Here is a 25899-nt window from a genome sequence, read left to right as displayed (position 1 = left end):
GGAAGCCATGGCAGTGAGAATGCTGGAGCTCAACTTCAATCCTCTTCAGTCTAGAGTTTAGAAGACCGCTCTCTGCCCACGCCCCTTAAAGTGTAGCTTGTAAGTCAAGAAAGAATCAAGGGTTCAAACAATTTGGCATGATAAATTGGAACTATTTTCTTTTCTTTCTCTTTCTTTTTATATTTTATTTTATTTCAATAGTTTTTGGGGAGCAGATGGCTTTTGGTTACAAGGATAAGGTCTTTAGCAGTGACTTCTGAGATTTTGGTGCACCCTTCACTGGAGCAGTGTACACTGTACCCAATGTATGGTTTTTTATCCCTCATCCCCTGCATCCTTTCCCCTAAGTCCCCAAAATCCATTGTATCATTCTTGTGCCTTTGTATCTTCATAGCGCAGCTCCCACTTATAAGTGAGGATGTACAATATTTGGTTCTCCATTCCTGAGTTATTTCACTTAGAATAATGATCTCCAACTCCATCCAGGTTGCTGTGAATGCCATTATTTTGTTCCTTTTTGTGGCTGAATAGTATTCCATGGTGTATATGTACACCGCATTGTCTTTATCCACTCATTGCTTGATGGGCATTTAGGCTGGTTCCCTATGTTTTCAATCGCAAATTGTGCTGCTATAAACATGCGTGTACAAGTGTCTTTTTTGGAACTAGTTTTTTTGCCCAGGCTAGAGAGCAGTGGTGCAATCTGGGCTCACTGCAATCTCCACCTCCCAGGTTCAGGCGATTCTCCTGCCTCAGCCTCCTGAGTAGCTGGGATTACAGGCGTGTGCCACCACCTGGCTAATTTTTGTATTTTTAGTAGAGATGGGGTTTCTCCATGTTGGCCAGGCTGGTTTCGAACTCCTGACCTCAGGTGGTCTGTCCGCCTTGGCCTCCCAAAGTGCTGGATTACAGGCATGAGCCACCAGAGCTATTTTATATACTATTTACTCCTACATACTCTGAGGTCTCAGTTAGCTACACTTTATCTTGTTCTCAACTATGATTGGATAACCAAGAATCAGCAGACACTTGAGGAAGGCTCATAATATAGAAGAAGCAGACAACAAAACAAAGATGTGACCACTGAGTGGAGGGATATAGTTCAAGGAACAGAAGAGAGTTTGAAAACATCAGTAATCAAAGAACCAAAAAAACTTTTCGAAATAAAAATACAGTCTCTAAAATCAATATTTGATCCAAGGATTGGAAGGGAAAGTACAAGCATGAAATAAACAATATAAAAAGCTCCCCAAATGTAGAACAAAGCCCACAGATATGGAAAATATAAAACAGGAGAGAAAAAATGAATCGATTCAGGAGGGAAAGGGAGAGAAAGAGGGAAGGGACCATCTAAAGAAAGTGGGGAGAGACCGGGAAAGAAGTCAGTTCGGGCGTCAGCAGAACAAGTAGATTACAACAGCAGCCAGGGGAAAGTGTGCAGGGATAGGGAGGATGAAATCAGGGCAAGAGGAGGCTAACGAGAAAAGGCAATTTCTCCATTCCTGACCTTCCCCACTGAGCCCAGCTTTGGCTTCAGAGTGATTTCAGAGTGGCTTCAGAGTGACTCATGATCCCAGTGGAAGTGTTCCTGGGGGAAGGGGCAGTGGGTCAGACAGCCCAGGGCAGGAAGAGGCAATGAGATGTCTTACAGTGGGGCTGCCTGGAAGAAGCCTGGGGCATGGGCTTTCTCCAGCAAGGCTGGGTGTGAGTCCTGTGCACTGTGGTCTTCCCAAAGTGCTCCTCTCCCTGCACTCCTCATGGCTGGCCTTGTCCGTCCTCTCCTCCAGGCAGTAGATCCCGCAGCTCCTCAATGCTTGGGTTCCTCCTGGCTCCTCCTGCTCCTTGGCTCCTACGTGCACTCCCGTGCAAACCTGACCAGTCCCGGACACATTTTCTTTTCCACATGCACAAAAGTTTGGGCACACCTTGCAACATACACTGTACCTTAGTCTTTTCAAAGAATGACACCTCTTTTCTCCTAATATGTAAAAAGAGAAGTAGCTACAGATGTAACAGGAAGTGAGCAAGAGACTTGAAGGAGATTCGAGTAGGTTTGCGGTGTTGACTTCCGAGCTTGGATTCAAGTCCCTGAAGGGCACCAGACACCTGTGATCACCAAGGAGAGGAGAGGAGACAGGACCATGTGGCTGTCCCCATCTCTGCTGCTTCTCATCCTCCCAGGTGAGTGTGGCTGGAGCTTTAAGGCACTGGAATGACAGCGGCTGGCTTGGAGACAGAGACGCTCTGTTCTCAGGAAGGAGACATGTCAGGGAAAATGACAGCGCCAATTCATCCATCCATGCCCATATTCATTAAATAGCAATCAAGTTTTTGTTATCTGACAGGTTCTGTGTTAGATGCTGCAGAAACAAACACACACAAAACAAAACAAGTATAGCTTCTTGTTGGAACAGTGGTTCTCAACCCTGACTGTTCCATATAAACAGATGAATGAACAGATATCAATGAAGGAAGGAACTAATGAGTGAGTCCATTCTTGAAGAACTTTTTTTTTTTTTTTTTTTTGAGCTGGTGTCTCGCTCTGTCACCCAGGCTGGAGTGCTTCTTTCACTTAGCATGATGTTTCAAGGTTACTTTGTGTTGTAGCACAAATCAAAGCTTCATTCTTTTTCATGGCTGCATAGTATTTCACAGTGGATATACCACATTTGGTTTCTCCAGTCATTTGTCAATGAACCTTAGGGTTGTTTCTACCTTTTAAAAATTGTTAGTAATAATGTTATGAACTTTCATAGCACAGTTTTGTATGGAGATATGTTTTCAGTTCTCTTGGGTATATATCTAGGGGTAAAATGGCTGAATCCTATGTTAATTCTATGTTTAACTTTTTGAGGAAGCATCAAACCTTTTTCCCAAGGATTTATATTTGAGTACAGCTTTGGCTGTCATGTCAACAAATTTTGATACGTAGTGTTTTCATTTCTGTTAAAATGTAACAAATCTATGTGCTTCTCATATTATCTATACTCAGATCAAGCTTTGTAAGAAAATTTTTCCTTCCAATCTCAAATTTATTTTCTTTTAAAATAGATTATTATTATTATTATTATTATTTTTATTTTTTTTTTTTTTGTAGAGATGAGGACTCACTTTCATGCCCAGGCTGGTCTCAAACTCCTGGGCTCAAGTGATCCTCCCACTTTGGCCTCCCAAAGTGCTGGGATTATAGGTGTGAGCCACCATGCCTGGCTTCAAATTTATATTCTGTAAACAATTTTCAGATATATTCTCCTTCCTTTCCTTCCTTCTGAGACAGGGTGTGCTCTGTCACCCAATCTGGAGTACAGTGCTGGGATCAGGGTTCACTGCAGCCTTGACCTCCCAGGCTCAAGCCATCCTCCCACCTCAGCCTCCTGAGTGAGTAGCTGGGACTACAGGCATGTGGTGCGACACCCAGCTAATATTTATTTATTTATTTAGTCTCGCTATGTTGCCAGGGCTGCTCTCAAGCTCCAGGGCTCACGCGATTCTCCTGCCTCAGCCTCCCAAAGTTGTTATATTACAAGTGTGAGCTACCACACCCAGCTCTTATTTCTTATAAATAACTTCCAGATGTAGTTTTTCTTTAAATATTTACCTTAATTGTTGTCTTTCCATTCTGATGTAGAACTTTTTTCAGAGTGAACAAATGAAGCCCCTATACCCATCTTTCCCCAGGAGGTCGTGTGTAGTTTCTTAGTTCCCTTCAGATGCCATAGAAAGCAGATTTGGGCATGGAGTCCAATTTCTGTTCCAGGAATTCCTTGGGTTGTGGAGCTCTGCCTGTTTATGGTGAAATTGTCTTCCGCTCCCACCATGGTGACCCTGGTTTTTCAAGACATTCCAATGAAGTCTAAAGTTTTCATTCATCCAGGGGTAATAATAATAATAATAATAATAACAAACATAATATAGTAACATAGAGGTAGATGCCATTACTATTCCCACTTATAGAAAACGAAGTCACAGTGTATTAGTCCATTTTCACGCTGCTGATAAGGACATACCCGAGACTGAGTAAATTACACAGAAAAAGAGGTTTAATGGACTCACAGTTCCACATGACTGGGGAGGCCTCACAATCATGGTGGAAGGTGAAAGGCATGTATTATATGGCAGCAGGCAAGAGAGAGAATGAGAGCCAAGTGAAAGAGGTTTCCCATTATAAAACCATCAGCTCTCATGAGACTTATTCACTACCACGAGAACAATGTGGGGGAAACCGCCCCATGATTCAATTAACTCCCAACTGGTGCCCCCCACAACATGTGGAAATTATGGGAGCTACAATTCAAGATGAGATTTGGGTGAGGACACAGACAAACCGTATCACACAGAGAGGTTAATTTGCCCAGGTTCACAAAACTTATCAGTGGTAGAGCCAGGATTCAAACCCAAGCACTCTGGCACAGCCTGAGCTCTTACCCACGACCTTGGGTGTCTCTTGGCGTTTCAGAGACAACCTCTCTCCTGCCACAGGAATTGCCCCCAGGGCTTCTTCAAGTGCTCCAATGTGCTTCTAGTTCCATCTCAAGTTTATGCTGCACTAATCACAGCTATGGTTTATTGCCAGTGCATAAATCATCAAAATCAATCGTTTCTTTAGATGGGTCTCCCTTTAGGTCAGTTGAATTTAAAGAATTTCTGGCAAAGCTCTCACTTAAGGTATTTCCACTGTTTTGAATTGTTTTCAAGTGAAAGATTAGGCTGACAAGTTCATGGAGACTAGTCTTGTCCTGGATCAAATTGTTTGAAAAGTGGAGCTAATTAGGTATGCCCGTTCCTCACCCTTTAACTGACTTGAATCATGTCCATTATGTTTAGAGAAGAACTTATAAGATGCAGAAGGGTGTTGAATGGGTGCTGCTCTGTTTATACCTAACCTTTACTTGTGTTTATCTTAAAAGTTAGCTTTTCCTAGGAATTTTGGAAGTGGAATTTATAACACTGTATGGCGAAATGGAGATCTGTGTGATGTGGATCCCATAGCAGATAGAGACCAGTTGGCATCACTATTTGGTTGATTTCAAAGGGATTCATTCAGGGTGATTAACTACAGCAGAGCCACCAGAAACCATTAGAACCACTAGGAACAGCCAAGCATCAAGGCAGCAATCATTCTTCTGGAAAAGGGCCTTCTGCCATTTCCTCCCCATCAGACCAGTATAACACAAAGATGGTTGCCAAAGAGCATTCCTTGGAATATAAAGATTTGCTGGCCATAGGGAAAGAGAGAGGGGTGAACTGCAGGAAGCTATTATTGCTCAATGCCAACATTTGTGTTTCTTTGGGGATCTGCAGTTGTGCTCTTCAGTGATTTTCCTGGTGACTTTGACCCAGTGGAATTTTGAAGGACAAAGATTTGTCTTGAGGAAAATGTATTGCTTCCTTGACTGTTATAAGGCAGTTGGATTTGGCTGCTACTCCCAATGCACGAGGCTGTGGCCCTGCCCTTGGGGTGGGAGGTGACGACACATGAATTTGCGTTTTCCAGGTTACTCCATTGCCGCTAAAATCACTGGTCCAACAACAGTGAATGGCTCGGAGCAGGGCTCATTGACTGTGCAGTGTGCTTATGGCTCAGGCTGGGAGACCTACTTGAAGTGGCGGTGTCAAGGAGCTGATTGGAATTACTGTAACATCCTTGTTAAAACAAATGGATCAGAGCAGGAGGTAAAGAAGAATCGAGTTTCCATCAGGGACAATCAGAAAAACCACGTGTTCACCGTGACCATGGAGAATCTCAAAAGAGATGATGCTGACAGTTATTGGTGTGGGACTGAGAGACCTGGAATTGATCTTGGGGTCAAAGTTCAAGTGACCATTAACCCAGGTAAGAGGGAGTGTATATACGTGTGTGTCTCTCAGGTCCTGCTCTGTCCTGGTCCCTGAGGTCCCACTTGAGTAAATTAACTGTCACTCAGAGTGACCTGTGACAGAGGGTGTCTGAGTCCTGAGGTCTTGCTATGGTTTGAATATTTGTCCCTCCAAAACTCGTGTTGAAACTTAATCCCCAATGTGGCAGTATTGAGAGACAAGGCCTTTAAAAGGTGACTGGGTCATGGGGGCAGAGTTCCCATGAATGAATTAATCCATTCGTGGATTAAAGGATGAATGGGTTATCATGGGAATGGAACTGCTTTATAAGAAAAGGCAGACAGACCTGACTTAGCATACTCAGTTCCGCCACCACGAGGTGCCTGGAGCCACCTTGGGACTCTGCAGAGAGTCCCTGCCATCAAGAAGGCCCTCACAAGATGTGGCTCCTCAACCTCGGACATCTTAGCCTCCATAACTGTAAGAAACAAATTCCTTTTCCTTATAAATGACTCAATTCCAGATATTCTGTTATAAGCAAGAAAAAGTAGACTAAGACAGGTCTCATAGGACCCTGAAGGACCGCTTGGGATTGAGGGGATCTCTTAATGACCCCATGGCTCCCAGGGCTCCCTCCAGGATGGGATTAAGTCTTTCTAGGCACATTTTTTTTTTCTCTGCACAGCTCAGTGCCTGAGTCTGTTGCCCACAGATGACAGGGTGATGGTTCCAGTTTCAGCCCACAGGCCAAAGGGACCCCCTTCCCTGGTAACCAGAGACCCCAATCCCTGCCAGTGCCTTCTTGGAACTTCTTTATAGCACTAAGTCCCTGTATCAGAAAAGGAGAAGGGCCTCAAGTCAATGGCCTTAGCTCAAGATACTAGGGAAAAAAAAGATCAAAGTAAACTCAAAGCAAACATCAGAACACAGATAATATTAAGACCACAATGAAAAATTAATGAAATCGAAAACAAAAGTAATAGGGAAAAATCAATGAAATGAGATATGTTTTCTGTGAAAACATCAGAAACACTGTTAAACCTCTACCTAGACTGATCAGGAAAAAGATATAAATTACTAACATCAGAAATGAGAGAGGTAACATTACAACAGATTTTATAGCTACTAAAAGAATAATAAGGGAATATGTGTCGTAAACAACTTTTATGCCAATATATTCAACAAGTTAAATGAAATGGAAAAACATCCTTGAAAGGCACAAACTACCAGTCACAAGAAGAAATAGATAACTGGAATAGCTCTATATCTTTTAATGAAATAGAATTTGTCATTTGCCATCTTCTCACGAAGAAAATTTCAGGCTCAGATGGCCCTTTGGTGAGTTCAGGACCGGATAATATCAATTTTTTTTTTTTTGAGATGGAGTTTCGCTCTTGTTGCCTGGGCTGGAGTGCAATGGCACGATCTCGGCTCACCACAACCTCCACCTCCTGGGTTCCAGAGATTCTCTTGCCTTAGCCTCCCGAGTAGCTGGGATTACAGGCATGCACCACCATGCCCAGCTAATTTTGTATTTTTAGTAGAGACAGGGTTTCTCCATGTTGGTCAGGCTGGTCTCGAACTCCCAACCTCCGTAAAGAAGGGTGTAACTGGCAGGTAATAAGCAGTAGCTGAGCAATATATTCTCCTGGTTCAAAAACCCAAAGACCTTGTGACATTACCACTACTTGAATTTCTCCTTCATAATCAGAATCAATAACTCCTGGGACTAAGGTAATGCTCTGTAAATTAAGACAGCTTTTACCCAAAATTAATCCCATATATCCTGTTGGCAAAGGTCCCCAAATACCAGTGGGAATCTTGGTGGGTTTGTCTCCTCCCACTAACGTTACCTGTTCTCTGACTGGGAGATCGAATCCTGAGCTTCCAGGTGTTCCTGGGGAGAGGGAATCAATGTGCCTCCGGGAACCTATCCCTGAGATGGGGCTGTGGGCTGGACAGGGAATGCCTCCATTGTTTATAGGGCCCGGGTCCAGGCCCCCTTCTCGTTTCCCGACAGGGGGGTGCCATTCTGATGAAATTTTGAGTGGCATTGACTAGCCCAGTTATTTCCTATATTGCAATGAGGGCAAAGTCCTGGCATTTTTTCTGGGGTGGGGGGCTGCATTATAAGATCCCTTCTGCCCAAAGGTCTGACGGTATTCTTTTTTGAAGTGTCCGATTTTTCCACAATTATAACATTTTCCCATTTTAGGATTTGCTCCTTGGCCGTTTTTAGATTTGTCCACTACTAAATTAGCCATTGCTTGAGCCAACATTGTAGAGCAATGAAGTTCAGTTCCCACATCTTGACAAGCTTTGAGAAAATTTCCCGAGTTTTTTGTACATCTCACAGATGCCAGTGCACATTTACAATCTGCATTTGCATTCTCAAAAGCTAGAGTTAAGGTTAGCATTTCTGTAGCCGCAGTATGAGGAATCTGATGCTTCACCGCCTCTTGTAATCTTGCAAGAAAATGTGCATTGGCCACCCTTACATGATATGTAAAAAAGATTGTACTGGGACCCCTTCCTCAGGAATTGTGGCCCAGGCATGTTTAGCAGCCAAGGCACACTGCTTATAAGCAGTGTCTGGGAGTGCCATGTGATGTTCCAGGTCTGAATAAGGACGATTACCTAACAGCATATCCTCTGTAATGTCTCCGTGTCCAGCAGCATGATTCTGTCTAGCCTGGTCTGCACACAGTTCTTGCCAATTTAAATTCCATGTCAGGTATGCACTAGCAGACAAACAAGTGCAAGCCAAATGCTTTACATCAAAGGGTGGAAGGCGCATAGCACCAAATATAGATTCTAGCAATCCTAAAGTAAATGGGCTTTGTACTCCATTATTAACTACACTCGCTTTCAATTCCTTCAGCAACTTAAACTGTAGTGGGGTGTGTTCATGAATAAACTGCTGAGGATTATTTGGATCGGGCCTTATGGAAATAGGAAAAGCGCAAGGTCCTAAGGGCTTTCCAGCTATAGCAGCAGAGCATAAAATTCTTTGTATTGGGGTCTCTATTTCTGCTACTGAAGGAGGCAGTACAGACGTTTCTGCTACTGGAGGGGGTGACACAGGCCAGTTTTCATCCTCCTTCTCCTGTTTATTATTTTTAATTGGTACTGTGGGTGGGACAAAATATTTTTTCAGATTTTTAGACTTGGAATATGATTCCTGCTGTCTAGCAGAATAAGAAGAAGATAATGGCAGGAGGACAGCACGGACTAAACTCCAAGCAGAAAAAACAAAAAGATCAAATTTAAGACCTTTTTGGTGAGCCCGTTTTAATCCTGGTCCTACTCTGTCCCAAATTTCTACATCAAGACTGCCTGTCTGTGGAAACCACGGGTTATGTATAGTGACCTTCTTCAGCATCTTAATTAATGTTTGAGAACTAACCTGAGCACCAGTTTGTTTAAGTAAAACTTTAAGCAAATGCACATAATGTTGCACCTCAATAGACAAATTCTGCCCCATGTTACCCTTATTCAGAAAACTTCCCATTCCCAGTACCTCTCTAGGGCACTGACCTGATATCCCAGTACCTCTTTAGGGCACTGATCTTGTATCTGCTGCCGCTCCCAGTACCTCTTTAGGGCACTGACCTTTTATTGGCTGCCGGCAGACTTGTTCCAGGGTTTCTCGTTCGTCTTGTCAGTTTCTCTTTCTCTGCTCCAGCAGACCTTCTTTGCTCACGTTCCTGTCCCGGCCACCACTTGTCGCTGTTGGTTGCTAGGGGATTGAACAAAGGGGGGACGAATGCAGAAATGAAGACAAAGACAAAGAGATCTGTTTTGAAAGAAGGGGTCAGGGAGCTCCTTGCTTCTAGTGAACAAGGGCCCTGAGCTTCTACAGCCCTTCGTATTTATTAGGTAGAAAGAGAAGGGAGGGAGAGGTAATGGTTGGTCAGCTGCTTGATTTATTACAGGTACACACAATAGCTTTCTTTGTACAACAGGCTTCAGATGTTCCTATAGATAATCACAAGGAACACAGCACTTGGGGTGTGACTGCCCTCAGCACCCCTTCGGGCAGCAGACACCGTTGCCAGTTTTCCAACATCCTGCTTTCATGAGAACAGTTTTCTGTTCGCTCATATAGCCTCCAGTGCTATACTGTGTTGGTCATGACTCTCATTCTTTCGGCCTGTAACAAAAGTTAACATTACTGACCTTGACACCAAGTGTTGGAAACACTCTCGAGTACCTGGAGCCCTCATACCCTGCAGGTGGGAATGCACATGATGCAACCACCTGGGAAAAGAGTTTGCAGTTTCTTCAGACATGAAATGTATGCCCGCCAGAGATGATCCAGCCCCTCAGCACTTCCATATTTAGTCAAAATAATAGAAAGTTTTATGTTCACACAGAGACCTGTATGTGAATGTTCATAGCAGCTTTATTTGTAATAGCAAAAAACTGGAAACAATTCAAGTGAGTGGATTTTTTTAAAAATGTGAAATACAGGCTGGGCGTGGTGGTTCACGCCTGTAATCCCAGCACTTTGTTAAGGCTGAGGCAGGTGGATCACTTGAGGCTAGGAGTTTGAGACCAGCCTAGCCAACATGACAAAACCCCATCTCTACTAAAAATAAAAAAAAATTAGCTGGCTATGGTGGCACTAACCTGTAGTCCCAGATGCTTGGGAGGGTGAGGCAGAGAATTGCTTGAACCTGGGAGGCAGTGGTTGCAGTGAGCCAAGATCATGCCACTGCACTGCAACCTGAGTGACAGAGAGAGACTCTGTCTCAAAAAAAAAAAAAAAAAAAAAGTGAAATACTCATGCAATGGAATACAACTTGCAATAAAAGGGAATGTTCTACTGATATACCAATGATAAAATAGTTATGCTGAGTGAAAGAAACCAGCTCAAAAGCTGATTTACACTGTATGATTCCATTTATATTAGATTCTGGAAAATGCCAACTCATAGATAGTAAGAGAAAATGGATCATCCCTTAGCTAAGGCTGTCACAACAAAATACCACAGACTGGGTGGCGTAAACAACAGAAACGTATTTCTCATAGTTCTGGAGGCTGGAAGTCCGAGATCAAGGTGTTGGCAGGTTCAGTTGAGCCTGAGGCCTCCCTCCCTGGCTTGCAGGTGGCTGCCTTCTTGCTACCCCTTCTTGCGGTTGCCCCTCTGTGCTCGCATGCCTTGGTGTCTCCCTGTGTGTCCTCATCTCCTCTTCAGAGAACGATACCAGTCAGATGGCATTAGGACTTACCCTAACAAACTCATTTTAACTTAATTGCCTCTTGAAAGGTCCTATCTCCAAATATAGTCACATTTTGAGGTACTGGGGACTAGCATATCAACATATAATTTTTAGGGGTCCACAGTTCAGTCCCTAACACCTGGGGACAGAGTAAGGGGGAGGGCGGGCATGGGGATTATGAATGTGTTGACTGTCCTGATCATGGTGGTGGTGTTACCGGGTATACACATACATCAGAGTTTAACATATTGTTCTCTTTAAATATTTACAGTTTATTATGTGTCAGTTATACCTTGATTTAATCCCAGAAAAATGATATAAAAAGACAAATATGATGCTGTGATCTCTTATTATTAGATTGCTCCTGAAGCAAACTTTGAATATCAAAACTCACTACACACACCGTCAGCGTGAGTAGGGTGTGGTCCAGCAGGAATTGGCACACAGCAGAGGCTGGGATGCATCAGACATAGCCAGACTTCAACAGGGGTAGGGAGGGTGAGATTGGGAAGCTGCTGGAAGACAGGAAACGGCCAGAGAGGGAAGAGCGGAGGTGGAGGGCGCTGGGCCTGGCTGCAGAGAGCCAGGAATCCGGGGCTCTCCAGAAGTGGCTCAGCGAGGGGGCCACCAGCTCAGCCGCCGAATCACTCCAGAACAGGCGGTAAGGAGTTCACCTCGGCTGTGGCCGAGACTCAGAAAAGAGCTAGCCTAGCCCGAGGAGAGCGGAATGCTATCGAGTGTGCTAAGCTGTGCCATGCAACTGATGATTGCAAATTCCCTCCTTAGTCTGCTCCTCAGAATTTCTCACATGGTAATAATTCAGTAACTTCTCTTTAGAAGATAATTCATGTAATATTTTGGATGCTGACCAGACAGTCTTGGACCCCAAGGCAGAGGCTCCTTAATTCCTAGGTGGAGAAGCCTTAGGGCCACAGCCAGAGCTGGGCCATCCATGGAAGGGGTGAACCGTGTTCTGCTTTGTATGTTTAGGCACACAAACTGCAGTCTCAGAATGGACAACCACAACAGCAAGCCTGGCTTTCACAGCTGCAGCCACCCAGAAGACCAGCAGCCCCCTCACCAGGTAGGTGGAGCCAGGTCCCACCACTTTCGCACAGGCCTGGCCCCATGGCCTCTCCTCTAACAGGGGTTGCCAGATACAACAATAGCATGCCCAGTTACACTGCAATTTCAGACAAACAACAAAACATTTTTTAGCATAAGTATATCCCAACTATTTCATGGGCTATACTTATACTAAAAAAGCATATGTTGTTTATCTGAACTTCAAATTTAACTGAGCATTCTATGCTTTTATTTGTTAACTCTGATAGCCCTGTTTTCTGGGGGTACTCAGGCTGGGACCCCCATAGGCCCCTGCTGTTTCGTCTTTGTATCAGTAAAGTCACTGCAAACCTCCGATGGCCTGCCCCAATCTCAGTTTACCTTTGAGGAAAATAAGATTTCCCATCTAAGTGTTGGCTACATGAAGGCAAACTCTGCAGCACAGACATGAGCCACCACATGACTGAAGGTGGCAGGAGAGGGGCCTGAACATGCCCTCCCCACCTCCTGGGGTCAAGAGGGCATATCGAGGTTTGGCCTTTAGTGGGTTAGGAGAGACACCTCTCTCATCTGCTCCTAGTTTCTGCCCAAGAACAAATATTGTTCCAGCCTCTCTCTCCCAAGACACCAGAGTAGGGGAATGGAAAATGCTAGAGGGAAAGGGGGAAGCTGGAAGTTTGGCGTTCTCACCCTCCCAAGCTGGCAGAGGGGTCTGGAGGATTAGTCTGATGCTCACCAGCCCTGGAGGTGTCCAGAGGAGTCCCCAGAGGTCGGCACCTGATAGCTAGCCGTTGGGTTCCATCACGGCCTGCTGTGGTCAAGCCCCCCAGGTCAAGGCCAGAGCCCAAACCACAGACCGTCCTGCTCCTGCTAGAGCCCAGCGCAGAGGCCCGTGTCTCTGGCTCAGTCCTCCTGGAACTACTCCTCAAGGTCTGCCAGTTCCCTCTGCAGTTCAACTCTGTTTTTTTTTTTTTATTCACTCGATCTTGAGTTCTGAGAATGCATCTGCAGAGCTCCACCCACGGAGCTGGCTTTAGGACTCCTCGACTGTTTTTTTTTTGTTTGTTTTTTTCCTCCTCCATGCTTTTGTGCAAACTGATGGGACTTTAGCTGTCAGGGGACAGAGGGCAAAGGACTCCAGAGGTGTAGCAGGAGAGCCCCAAGAGTGAAGATGCTGGGAAGGACCTTTGGGGGCATTTTGACCCGTGGCCTGCTGTATAGCCCCTCCTCCATCTCCCCCAAATACCCTCAGTCCCATCATCTGAGGGCTCATCCGGCATTCTGGAGTTGGATATAATTTTGAATTTTCTTTTCTGTCTTTTTTTTTTTTTTTTTTAGAGATGGGGCCTCAATATGTTGCCCAGGCTGGTCTTGAACTCTTGGGCTCAAGCAATCCACCTGCCTTGGCCTCCCAAAGTGCTGGGATTACACGTGCGAACCACCACGCCTGGCCTGATTTTTAAAATTTATCCGTGAGCTGAGAGTGGCTTCAAGTTGCGCTGAGGTGAAAGAAACAACGAAGGCCCAAGTTGGGAGGTCGAGACCCTGGGAAGTGGGTGGAGGATGGTGAGGGGGTGGAATTGATGGTCAATAAGGTTCTGGGCCTTACACATCCATAGAAAGTAACAGGGAACATAAGGAACCCCAGGGCCAGGTGCTGGTCCACAGGAAGAGGGTCAGAGCAAGGTCAGCCTCCAAGGCCTTCAAGAATATGATGTCAGATCTGATACCTGAAAGGTGGGTAGCGTTTGCACAGGCAGCGATGAGGGCGGAGAGGCCCTCTGGGTGCAGAATGCAGCAGAAGCCGAGGTAAGTAGAGACAGGGAATGCTAAACCCCTTCAAGATAGGTGAGGAGGAGTTATGGGAGACCAGCCAAAAAGGCCGGATGGGAGTTGGCAGACGGGACCTTGAATGCCAGGCTGAGTTTACTGGAGGTGTAGGGAGGACTGGGAGCCTCGCTGGTGAGCAGTGTGACTGTGCCCCACCAAAGGGGCTGGCCTGTCTGGGGTTCCAGGCTTACCCTCACATAGACATTGGAAGCCAGGATCTGGGCATAGAGCTGAGAAGACCTGAGACCTCTGACCCAGGAGGCAGCTCATTTCCTGTCACCGTGTTCCCACAGGTCCCCGCTCAAGAGCACCCACTTCCTGTTCCTGTTCCTCCTGGAGCTGCCTCTGCTCCTGAGCATGCTGGGGACCGTCCTCTGGGTAAACAGACCACAAAGAAGGTCTTGAAGGAGGAGGAGTCAGCCCGATGATGAGAGTCCCAATGCCCATTGACGTCCTGTCCAGGGCGAAAGGCCCTCCCACAGAAGAAAAAACATTTTCTTTTCTCTTCTTTTTTTCTTTCTAGAGATAGAGTCTTGCTCTGTCACCCAGGCTGGAATGCAATGGTGTAATCTCTGCTCACTGCAACTTTCCCCTCCCAGGCTCAAGCGATCCTCCTGCCTCAACCTCCAGAGTAGCTGGGGCTACAGGCACATGCCACCACCCCCAGCTAATTTTTAAATTTTTTTGTAGAGATGGGCTTCCACCACGTTGCCCAGGCTGGTCTCGAACTCTTGACCTCAAGAGATCCTCCCGCTTCGCCTCCCAAAGTGGTGGGATTACAGGTGTGAGCCACCGCACCTGGCAGAAAAACAACATTTCTATGGGGAATTGACTGTGGTTCTAGAGGCAGTGCTGGCCCCAGCTTCAGGGAACAGCCTCCTAGTCCCCTATCTCCTGCAGCCGTGCCACCTGGGGCTATTCCCTTCTCTGCACAGTCCCTGGGGCCTGACAGAGCCCTTCTTCCTTCTGAGGTCTCCAATGCAGTAGAAAACATGAGAAGAATGTGTTTCCCCCGAGAGGCACCTATGCCGTAGTGGACATTCGTGATCTCAGGTCTGTGAGCCACATGCAATGTTAACGGACCTGTCTTTGCATTCCGTGGGGTTCAAGTCTCCAGTCAATAATGGGTTTCAAAATCCTAAACCCATGAAAACAGAAAAACGGAACCAAACTCTGGTAATGGGCCAACTTAAGGGAAGATGAGTACAGAAGAGAGCAGAGGTTTCCGGGCTGCCGTGCCAGCTGCTCTCCTGCCACTTGTGGGGAAGGGAAGTCAGGAGATTCCTGGATGAGTACGATTGAAGATGATGGGAAAACACAGCCTCCTTTCGTCACTGTAAGACTTTTCTATTAGTGTTGATTGTTACATTTTCTTACCTCTTTTAAGAGTATTGCAGTTGGCTGCTACTCTCAATTTGGGGTATATGGGGAGATCACCCATACATTTTGGGGACTGTGACATAATCCATAAACTGGATGCCAGAGCTAGAACTGTGAGCTGGGGATGGCTGGGTCCTCAGTACCGCCTGCCTGGGTCCCCAGGGTGGTGCTCAGTCTTGGACTCTAATGACTGAGCCCCCTGCCCAGTGGGATCATCTGGTGGTTAAGACAGAGGCTAAATAACAGAAATTCCCTTCTGGGAACATGAACCAGGATCACCCAACTGCCCTCTGTCAGGTCAATCTCTGTACCCAGGTGAGACCCTTATTCACTCCCCACCATCATTCATTCCAAAATGCTGGGCGCAGTGGCTCACTCCTGTAATCCCAGAACTTTGGGAGGCCGAGGTGGGTAGATCACTTGAGGCCAGGACTTTGAGACCATCCTGGCCAACATGGTGAAACCCCATCTCTACTAAAAGTACAAAACTTAGCTGGGTATGGTGGCGCACACCTATAATCCCAGCTACTTGGGAGGCTGAGACATGAGAATCTCTTGAGCCTGGGAGGTGGAGGTTGCAGTAAGTCCAGATTGCACCACTGCACTCCAGCCTGGGTGATTGAGGGAGACTCTGTCACAAAAAATACATAAATAAAAATAAAAAATAAGCGAAAACATTTACTAAGCATCCACTAAGTATCAGGCACTGTTCAAGTACAACTATCACCGAAATAAAGAAAAAGACCTGGGTAAGTGCCGTGAAGGCAGTCTACAGGCTCAAAGATAAAGGATCACTCAGCTAGAAAATGATGAAATCATGGTTATTATCCAGACTCCCCCACCCCCAGCCTCACCCTTCATGAGCTCTGCCGCCCCTCTCTGGGCTGACCCATGTCCTGTCTGCTGCCCAGGCTCTGACCAGCGCTGCTCCCAGCCCCCACCCAGTGTGGACACCCCACCAACTCATAACACTCTCTGAGCTCCCACGTTCTCATCTTGTTTTTAACAACATTATTGAATCTTTCTATTGACTCTCTGCAGCAAAAGATGAGGACTTCTGTATCTTCCTCTTTTCCCACCATCCTCTTCCCCGTACTAATATTGTCAGTATGGTGGTTTTTGTATTGATGATATTCATTGTTGGTTTTTTTGTTTGCTTGTTTTTTTTTTTTTTGAGACGGAGCCTCGTTCTGTCACCCAGGCGGGAGTGCAGTGGCGCGATCTTGGCTCACTGCAACCTCTGCATCCTGGCTTCAAGCAATTCTCCTGCTTCAGCTTCCCGAGTAGCTGGGAATACAGGCACATGCCACCACGCCCAGTTAATTTTTGTATTTTTAGCAGAGACGGGGTTTCAACATATTGATCAGGCTGGTCTCAAACTCCTGACCTCAGGTGATCCACCCGCCCCGCCTCTGGTAACTGTTTTTAAAAGTGCAATCTAGCCACAGTGAATAGGGACAAGAGTCAGACTGGGGAGCTCTTGTGCCTGTTCAAGAGGGAAGGCCCTGTGGTAATCAGGGAGAAAGAGGGGGGTGGGAGGGCAATGGAGAAAAGTGGACAGATCTGAGGGTCTTGGGTTAACACAATGGCTGGGGCACGAGCAAAAGATGAGCCAAGGATGTTGCCCAGGTGACTGGAGTTTGGTCTGAGAAAAAGGGGACCATGGGTGTAATTTACTGTGATGAGAAGAGGATCAGGCTGGGGAGTTTGCAGGAGGTCAAATCAAGAGTTTCCTTTTGGGGGCCGGGCGCGGTGGCTCACGCCTGTAATCCCAGCACTTTGGGAGGCCGAGGCGGGCGGGTCACGAGGTCAGGAGATCAAGACCATCCTGGCTAACACGGTGAAACCCCGTCTCTACTAAAAATACAAAAAATTAGCAGGACGTGGTGGCGGGCGCCTGTAGTCCCAGCTACTTGGGAGGCTGAGGCAGGAGAATGGCGTGAACCCGGGAGGCAGAGCTTGCAGTGAGCCAAGATGGCGCCACTGCACTCTAGCCTGACTCCGTCTCAAAAACCAACAAACAAACAAAAAAACAGAGATGTAATCCTTGCCCTTAGAGAATCACAGTTTGGCAGATACACGTGTTCTACCTCCACTCAAGGTGATTTTGCCCGCCAGGATGAAGGCACAAGCAGCAAGCTGCCTAGATTACTTCAAACTCCCTTCCCAGAGCACCAGGAGAGAAAGCATCTGCTTTATCCCAGCCTCAAGTTCCTGGTTTCTGGTGTCTCCTTCTAAGCAACAAGGTCTAAGTGGCAAGGTCTAAGCAGCTTGGCAAGACAATCGGGACATTTAGCCTCATGACTTCTCAGCTTCAGACTCCAATCACAGCCGCCGGGGAGCCATAGGTCACCAAAACCAGCAGCTCAACGTGACTGTGCTTTACTTGTCTTATTCTTCCCCTTCACGACCTCAATCTTTGTCTTTCCAATTCCTCCCCAGATCTACTAGCAAGAGGCAGTTAACCAGATCAACATCCTCATTCTTATGGTTGAAAGAATGCAAATCGATTCTCATTCTGCCATTTTCCTTTCTTATTTTGTCGAATATCTCAAAGTTTCTCTTTCCTGTCAAGACTAGCTAATTTGCACAATTGCGTCTAAATTTACTGATTTAATTCTTTCTATAAGCTAACTTCTCTGTTCTTGCTACCCATATAAGAGATTCTTTCTCTAGTCAATACTCAATAATCAATAACATTCATAGACATGTAGTGGGAATATATTTGAATAAACACTGTGGTATTGATGGATAAAGGGTCTAATGTAGCAGAAACTAATTACAAAAATGATAGCAAACAAATAAAGCAAAATCGAATATCCATGACAAATCCAAAAGCAATTTCCTTGGAAAGATGTTGACAAGTCTAATGAAATGAAAGATATATGATGTTGATCTCTGTAACTGAATTAACTTGGACATCTTCCCAACAAGATCACTATTTGAGTAGAATTTCTTTTCTTTTTCTTTTTCTTTTTCTTTTTTTTTTTTCTTTGAGACAGAGTCTCAATCTGTCGCCCAGGCTGGAGTGTAGCGGCATGATCTCGGCTCATTGCAACCTCCAACTCCCGGGTTCAAGCGGTTCTCCTGCCTCAGCCTCCCGAGTAGCTGGGATTACAGATGTGCACCACCACGCTCAGCTAATTTTTTGTATTTTTAGTAGAGATGGGGTTTCATCATGTTGGCAAGGCTGGTCTCGAACTCCTGACCTCAGGTGATTGGCCTGCCTTGGCCTCCCAAAGTGCAATGATTACAGGCATGAGCCACTGTGCCTGGCCACTATTTGAGTAGAATTTCTCACCTCATTTGCCGTACTCCCTCCTGTACCTGTGGGACCTAGTACTCCTGGGTAAACACTCTTTTTCACTGGAAGCTAGCTTGATGGTACCTTACCCCGCTTCCCTATCATCACAACAGGTGGCTCTCCCCTCTGTTATCATATTGCACTAAAATTCAGTCAAACTTTCCATCTCTTATTGGGGGTACCCAATACCACTCCCAGGTTTAATGATTCACTAGCATAACCATGAAAAGGAGGTCTAGAATAACAAACTCCATTTTGCTCCTGACCACACCCCTACCCTGCAATATCTTTAGCATATAACCCAAACTAACTGTGGGAGGAATTTAGTGTATAGTTTAACTTTTTTTCTTTTCTTTCTTTCTTTCTTTTTTTTTTTTGAGATAGAGTCTCGCTCTGTTGCTCAGGCTGGAGTGCAGTGGCGCGATCTCGGCTCACTGCAACCTCTGCCTCCTGAGTTCAAGCAATTCTCCTGCCTCAGCCTCCTGACTAGGTGGGACTACAGGTGTGCACCACCACACCCGGCTAACTTTTGTATTTTTAGTAGAGACAAGGTTTCACCCTGTTGGCCAGGCTGGTCTCGAACTCCTGACCTCAGGTGATCTGCCTGCCTTGGCCTCCCAAATTGCTGGGATTACAGGCATGAGCCATCACACCTGGCTATAGTTTCACTTTAAAGCAAGGATGATAATAGTCCCTTTGCAACACCCCTGAAGCAATAAGGAAGACATACACACAGTAACAATGTTATGCTAACGATTTATAGGAGCATTGTGACCTGACCAAGAACAAAGAAGTTAATGCAACCTCCTCAGCTGACACCCAGATGTCTGTGGTCACCTGTCACTACCCGGCTCAACCTCCTCCTTGTTCTGCCTTCCCCAATATAAAAAGAAGCTTGAGGTTCATGCCTTTTATGATTGCTCTTTAGGACATGAGTCCACCATCTCTTTGGTTTGCTGCCTTGTAAAGCCATCTTCCTTGCCCCAACAGCTTGTCTCTCGACTTACTGGCTGTTGCTTGGCAAGCAGTTTGAGCTTTGGACTCGGCTACACTAGAAGGACTCAGAACTCAGAAAAGCTGTTATATGCATGGTTATGGTTTATTACACTGAAAGGATATGGATTAAAACCAGTAAAGGTAAAAAGTGCGTGGTGCAAGCTGCCAGCTGTCCTCTCCCAGTGGGATTTTGCAGACAGTGTTTAATTCTCCCATCCTAGCAACAATGTGTGACAACACACACAAAGTGCTCCATCCAGGGATGCTCACCCAAGCCTTGGTATCCAGAGAGTTCACTGGGGTCAGTCACATAGTCATGGAACACCTGTAGAACTGACCTCAGTGCCTAAGTCGCCAGAGATCAAATTAAAACTACATAGCTCAAAGTTCCCCCTACCCACCCATGAATTACATTGATAGCATCAACCATCTAGCATGGCTAGAAGCCCCCACCATAATCACATGGTTAACATGAGCTATCCAGCATGGCATCAAAGCCCCCAGATAAAAAAAGACAATCTAACCAGGCAGGATATTCCAAGGGTTTAGAGCTTATCTCCTAGAAGCAAAGCAAGGGCTAAACTTTTTTCGGGAAGGTGCAGGCTTTGGACAACCTAAGCCTGCTGAGTTAATATTTTTCCTGCATACATCCCTGCAATTGTAGCAGAACTGAGTTTCAAGCAAATGGGTTTCAAGGAATGACCAAAATGCAGCAGTGTTCTACCATTGACTATAATGCATTGCTGCTGGATTTTGGTCATTACTGAGAACCTCAGCCATTAGTTATTACTGAGAACCACAGCCATTAGTTATTACTGAGAACCACAGCCATTAGTTATTATTGAGAACCACAACCATTAGTTATTACTGAGAACCACAACCATTAGTTATTATTGAGAACCACAGCCATTAGTTATTACTAAGAACCACAGCCATTAGTTATTACTGAGAACCTCAGCCATTAGTTATTACTGAGAACCACAGCCATTAGTTATTACTGAGAACCACAGCCATTAGTTATTACTGAGAACCACAGCCATTAGTTATTACTGAGAACCACAGCCATTAGTTATTACTGAGAACCACAGCCATTAGTTATTATTGAGAACCACAGCCATTAGTTATTATTGAGAACAACAGCCATTAGTTATTACTGAGAACCACAGCCCTTATGGAGTAACAGAGAGCTCCTCTGATTTCCTGGTCCGTCTACTAAAAAGACAACTGTGCTGAAGTGTTCATCCTCCTCATATTGGAACCAGAGCCTCTAGTACCCATCAGGACCCTGCAGGGCCTCAGTCTTGTTCACCAGTGTAGATAGCAGTGCCTGGCACAAGTCACCTGCTGGATGGAATGAGAACACATGGCATGCGGTTCTAAGATGACTCTCCTGCCTGCCCGCTCTCCCTTGACCCAGAGACAGGAGGAGCTGTATAATGTGGGTTTCCTTTATCTTAGTTAATAACAACCTTATTGCTGGGATTGGATCCTTCCAAGAGTATGTATCCACTCAGGTCTAGTGCCCATTCTAGGTGGGCACTAGAAGGTATGCAGAGAATTAGGTGCTTATAATATTGTGGAAAGGGCCGAAGAAGCAGCTCCTAAGCTTGTCCCTCCCTCCTCCCTCACATCCAGAACAGCCTGCTTTTGAGGCCCCTAGGGTCAAACAGGGAGCATGAAGTCTTGGTATCTGCCAAGCAACTGCCTTCCACATCCAGGAAGCTAGAGAATAATTTTATGAAGCTGCAATCCAAGGAATCTTCCTAATGGAAGTCAGATGAAGAAGTTGTCACTGCCCTCACTGCTTCTTGTCACCCAGGAAGCTAGAAAACATATCCTGGAACTCTGCTTCATGAAAGTCTCCTGTTTCTTCTAATCCTTGTTTGCCAACAGCAGTGGCTAAGAGCTGTGGAAGATAACCTCTGTCTAACTGGGCCTTTCAAATGGCCTCAGAGACACCTCAGTTGGTGGAATCCAGTTGTCATCCAAATCCCTGATTTCCAAATGAGGAAAGTGACAAGAAGCCTCACTGTTTCTGCAAAGGTCTTGCCCCAGACAGGGCTCCTCCAGGGAGAAGGAGCACAGGTGACTCATGCTGAAAAGCCAGAACGGTGAAGCATTGGGACAGACACCAGGACGTTGTCTCAGTCAGCTCAGGCTGCTGTAACAAAATACCATAAACCGAGTGGTTTATAAACAAGGGACCTTTATTTATTATAGTTCTGAAGGCTGGGAAGTCAAGATCAAGATGTTGGTAGATTTGGTGTTTGGTGAGGACTCTCTTCTTGACTTGCAGATGGCTGCCATCTTTCTGTATCCTCGTATGGCAGAGAGAGTGCTATGGTCTGAGTGTTTGTGTTTCTCCAGAATTCATGTGTTGAAACTTATTCCCAGTGTGTTGGTATTAGGAGGTGGATCCTTGGGGATAATTCAGTTGTGGGGGTGTAACCCTTATGAACAGGATTAGTACCCTTGTAAAAGAGACCCCAGAGAGCTGTCTTGCCCCTTCCACCATGTGAAGACACAGCAAAAAAAAGTACTCTTTATGAACCAGAAGGTGAGTGCGCAACAGACACTGAATCTGCTAGCACTTTGATCTTGGACTTTCCAGCCTCCACAACTGTGAGTAATGCATTTCTGTTGTTCATAACCCACCCAGTCTATGGTATTTTAAAATAGCAGCCTAAATGGACTAAGAAAGAAAGTGAGATCTCTCTTCTTCTTCTGATAAGGGCACTAATCCCACAATGAAGGCCTGATCCTCATGACCTCATCTAACCCTAATTACCTCCCACAGGCTCATTTCCTAATATCACCACATTACGGGTTAGGGCTTCCACATATGAATTTTTGGGGGAACTCATCAATCCATAGCAGACACCCAGAAGCAGACTTTGTTGTGTTGTTAATTTCCCCTGAAGATACTTCCTGCTATTCTGCAAACAGATATTGAATGAAATAAGACTTGGAGGCCTCTTCCACTTGCCATCTCTCAACCCATCTCACCCCTGCCTGAGTGTTGCAATCCGTACCTTGCATCATGAGAGCCAGAGGTGGGACCCCACCGAAGACCTGGGTTCAAATCCTGACCTCCCCACTTCCCATCATGACAGTTTAGTTCGTCTTTCCAGCTCCAGTCATCTTATTTAAAAGTGACCTGGCAGGGGTGTTGGGATGGGTATGCAGGATTTAAATATACAGAGTGCATGGTACGTAGAAGATCAAAAGAGGAAAGTTTCCCAGAGGGATGCCACCACCTTCAAATGCCTTTGCTCAACTCCTGGGACTGAGCAGGGTGAATATTTTTATTCCTATTTCACAGATGAGGAGACTGATGCTAAGAGACTTTTGCTGATTTGCCTAAAGTCATATAACTAGTGAACAGCAGACCTTAAAATCTGAGCCAGGGCTCCCAGCTTATGGCCAGAACCTTCCTCACTGTGCTACATGGCCCACATCATCAGAGTCAGGTAGAGACCCTCTCTGAGCCGGGCTCCCTATAGCACCCCAGCCCCCATGTTGGGAAGACCCTCCCCACACCCTGCTCCCTAGAGAGCCCTGTATTTGTAACAAGATCCCAAAGAGGCATCCATTGCCCAGAGCCGGTCAGGAGGCTGCCCTCTTGGTGACGTCTCCCTTGAGTGCCAGTGGGGAGGGAAGAAAGTGGGCAGTGGGGTCCACCATCCTTGGGCACTTGCCCATTCTCACCATGATGCACAAGATACTGAGAACTACTCCCCAAATGGATTGACGTCGGGTAGTAGAGGTGAGAGAAGAGAGGCCCAATGCCTTAATACATTCCTGATCCCCTCCCCTGGAAAATATGGAAGGATCGGAGCTCTCACCCTCCAATTCAGCTCACAAGGCTGGGGCCGAGCTCTGTCTGCGTCTCCGGGTGCCCAGATTGGTCCTGCCTTTGTGGAGGCTACAGCCTCACCTGGAAATGGATGCCATGCAACAGGACAATGACAGCACAGGGACATGAGATTAAATACAGAAATAAGCATTGCAGGTAACAGGAACCCCAGAGGGAGGGGTCTGGAAGGCCTGGAGCAGGCAGGGATGCCTTCCAGGAGAGGTGTGGTCTGAGCTCATCCTGGGAGAGTGAGAAGGGAGGATGACGGTTTTCGAGGAAGCAGAAAGACAAGCACAGCCCCGAAAGGCAGAGAGAAATGTGTGGGCTACTCACACTGTCCTACACATCACATGCCCCGAGTTTGCCCTAAGAACGCACCCCTCACTGATGAGATCTTAACTTTCTGGAAGCCCCAAGAGCTGTCCCTCAAGGGCAGCGATGGTGGGGGTCTCAGTGTGGTGCAGTGCCAGGCAGGGCCCCGGGCTCCCCGCCCTCCTGTGCCTCATGGCCAGTGTTCATTATTCTCAGTCCTCCCCTAGCTCTGCCCTCCTGGAGCGGACAGCATTTTCCAGGACAGGTTTCAGAGACAGAAGGACAAGGGCCTGCTGGGGAAGGGACAGCGGCTCCAGATGCTGGCCTTGACATGGAAAAAGCCTGGATGTCCCAGATGTGGGTCATCTCTTCAAGGAATTTGTCATCTCCTGGGGGACTCCAGGGCCCAGAGTACATCTGCTTCAAAGGTGGGTTCCCTGTGGCATTGCCATGTCCTTTGCATTTGGCAAACTGTCTGGTCCTAGCTAAAAAAATGAAACACACACAGGCTGTTTCTAAGCAGACCCTGCAGCCTCTCCCTGCCCCGACCTTGGATGAGCGAGAAGCACGGAGTCGGTGTGCTGCGGGGCACCCTTCCAGCCCGGTTAGGGAACCTCCAGTAGTGGGTTCTGTGGTTGTGGTCAGTGACTTGCCGCCTTGTCCTGTAAGAGGACTGTGCTTCTCCTTCCCACTGACTTCAGGCTTGACCCTATGACGATGAACGGTGAGCAGGAGCCGCATGTGCGCCTTCTGAGCAGAGGCTCAGAGAGCCACCCGGTGCCTTCCCTCTCCTCTAGCGGACTGGGCTCCGCAGCCTGGTGCCCAAGCAATGCTGACTCACCGCTTGCGTATAGACGAGCGAGAAACAAGCTTCTGTGGTTACAGCATGCTGGGATTAGGAGTTTTGCTATGGCAATGTGAGCCAGAAAGAGCTGACTAATACAACCCTGTGCACCCGGTGGTTTGTCCAGACAAGGATGGCGAGAATGTTTTCTGGAAAAGTCTGCAGCTGTGCGTCATCTCCTTCACAGACTCAGATCCCTTCTTCCCAAGAAAGGCACGTTGAGCAGCCCTTGACGCAGAGTCAGGGAGGGCCAGGCAAGCCTTTCCTTAGCGCCCAGAGCTAGGCACAGAGGGCGGGGCTCGCAACCGGCTCTGCAGGCTGCAAGGGGAGACATCTTTATCACTCCCAGCTCCTGCTTCCCCTCCACACACATGCACGCACCAACCCACACACCACACATATACACCACATGTACACACACACACACCCATACACCTCCCCACGCCCACACATGCACACACCACCCCACACACCACACACATACGCCACATGTAGACACACACCACCCACACCCCCCACACATGCACACACATACACACACCACACACATACACCACATGTACACACACACCACCCACACCCTCCACGCCCACACATGCACACACATACATACACTACACACATCACCCCACATACCACACACATACACCACACACCACCCCACATACCACACACGTACACCACACATGGACACGCACACACCACATACACTCCCACACATGCACACATATACACACTACACACACCACCCAACACACCACACACACGTACACACATACACACTACACACATCTCATCTCATACACACCACTCACATCACACACACCACACACACATTACACACACCCTACCCCACATACTGTACATATACACCACATGTACACACATCTCACACCACACACGTGCACACACATACACACTACACACACACCACCTGTGCACACACACCACACACACATGCAAACACACACACTACATGCACCCCACCCCACACATCACACACATACACCACATGTACACACATACACACACTACACACATCCCACCCACACCACACACACCACTCACACCACACACACGACCCCAAACACCACACACATACACACACACTACACACATCTCACACACACCACTCACACCACACATACACACACACTACACACACACCATCCCACACACCATGCACATACATCACATGTACCTACATACACACATACCACACATACTACACACACTACCCACACCACACACACTACACATATATCCCTCA

The 25899-nt window shown here is 46.7% G+C and overlaps 1 protein-coding gene and 1 long non-coding RNA gene across 4 annotated transcripts, besides 3 other annotated features; one reads left to right on the top strand and one right to left on the bottom strand.

Moving 5' to 3' along the window:
* Nucleotides 1-134: 134 nt before the first annotated feature.
* On the bottom strand, nt 135-9665 carry CD300LD-AS1 (CD300LD antisense RNA 1). Of its 2 annotated transcripts, none has more exons than NR_171003.1 (3): nt 9430-9665; nt 3599-3825; nt 135-2360 (listed from the first exon to the last, which is right to left on the bottom strand). It is a non-coding gene; the product is annotated as a CD300LD antisense RNA 1 (long non-coding RNA). The 2 variants fall into 2 exon arrangements; NR_171004.1 differs by lacking the exon at nt 9430-9665 and adding an exon at nt 9355-9426.
* Nucleotides 2028-2157: an enhancer, noted in NCBI's record as "active region_12713". NCBI's record gives its function as "activates an Ori minimal core promoter by ATAC-STARR-seq in GM12878 lymphoblastoid cells {active_cell/tissue: GM12878}" and the evidence as "EXISTENCE:reporter gene assay evidence [ECO:0000049][PMID:35858748]".
* CD300LD (CD300 molecule like family member d) lies at nt 2061-15701 on the top strand. Of its 2 annotated transcripts, NM_001115152.2 has the most exons (4): nt 2061-2181; nt 5495-5833; nt 12033-12126; nt 14231-14979. In NM_001115152.2, the coding sequence occupies exons 1-4, from the start codon at nt 2142-2144 to the stop codon at nt 14340-14342; spliced, it is 585 nt and encodes a 194-aa protein (NP_001108624.1). In that variant the 5' UTR covers nt 2061-2141; the 3' UTR covers nt 14343-14979. The 2 variants fall into 2 exon arrangements, with proteins under 2 accessions (NP_001108624.1, XP_047291002.1); XM_047435046.1 differs by lacking the exon at nt 2061-2181 and having other exon boundaries at nt 5476-5833; nt 14231-15701.
* Nucleotides 24028-24757: an enhancer, noted in NCBI's record as "H3K4me1 hESC enhancer chr17:72565726-72566455 (GRCh37/hg19 assembly coordinates)". NCBI's record gives its function as "activates a minimal SCP1, AML or CMV promoter by ChIP-STARR-seq in naive H9 embryonic stem cells {active_cell/tissue: H9 hESC(naive)}" and the evidence as "EXISTENCE:reporter gene assay evidence [ECO:0000049][PMID:30033119]".
* Nucleotides 24758-25488: an enhancer, noted in NCBI's record as "H3K4me1 hESC enhancer chr17:72564995-72565725 (GRCh37/hg19 assembly coordinates)". NCBI's record gives its function as "activates a minimal SCP1, AML or CMV promoter by ChIP-STARR-seq in naive H9 embryonic stem cells {active_cell/tissue: H9 hESC(naive)}" and the evidence as "EXISTENCE:reporter gene assay evidence [ECO:0000049][PMID:30033119]".

Source organism: Homo sapiens, chromosome 17 (assembly GCF_000001405.40).
Source record: "Homo sapiens chromosome 17, GRCh38.p14 Primary Assembly".
NCBI lineage: Eukaryota > Metazoa > Chordata > Mammalia > Primates > Hominidae > Homo > Homo sapiens.
The sequence above is the reverse complement of the archived record's forward strand: the minus strand, read 5'-3'. Positions and strand labels throughout refer to the sequence as shown.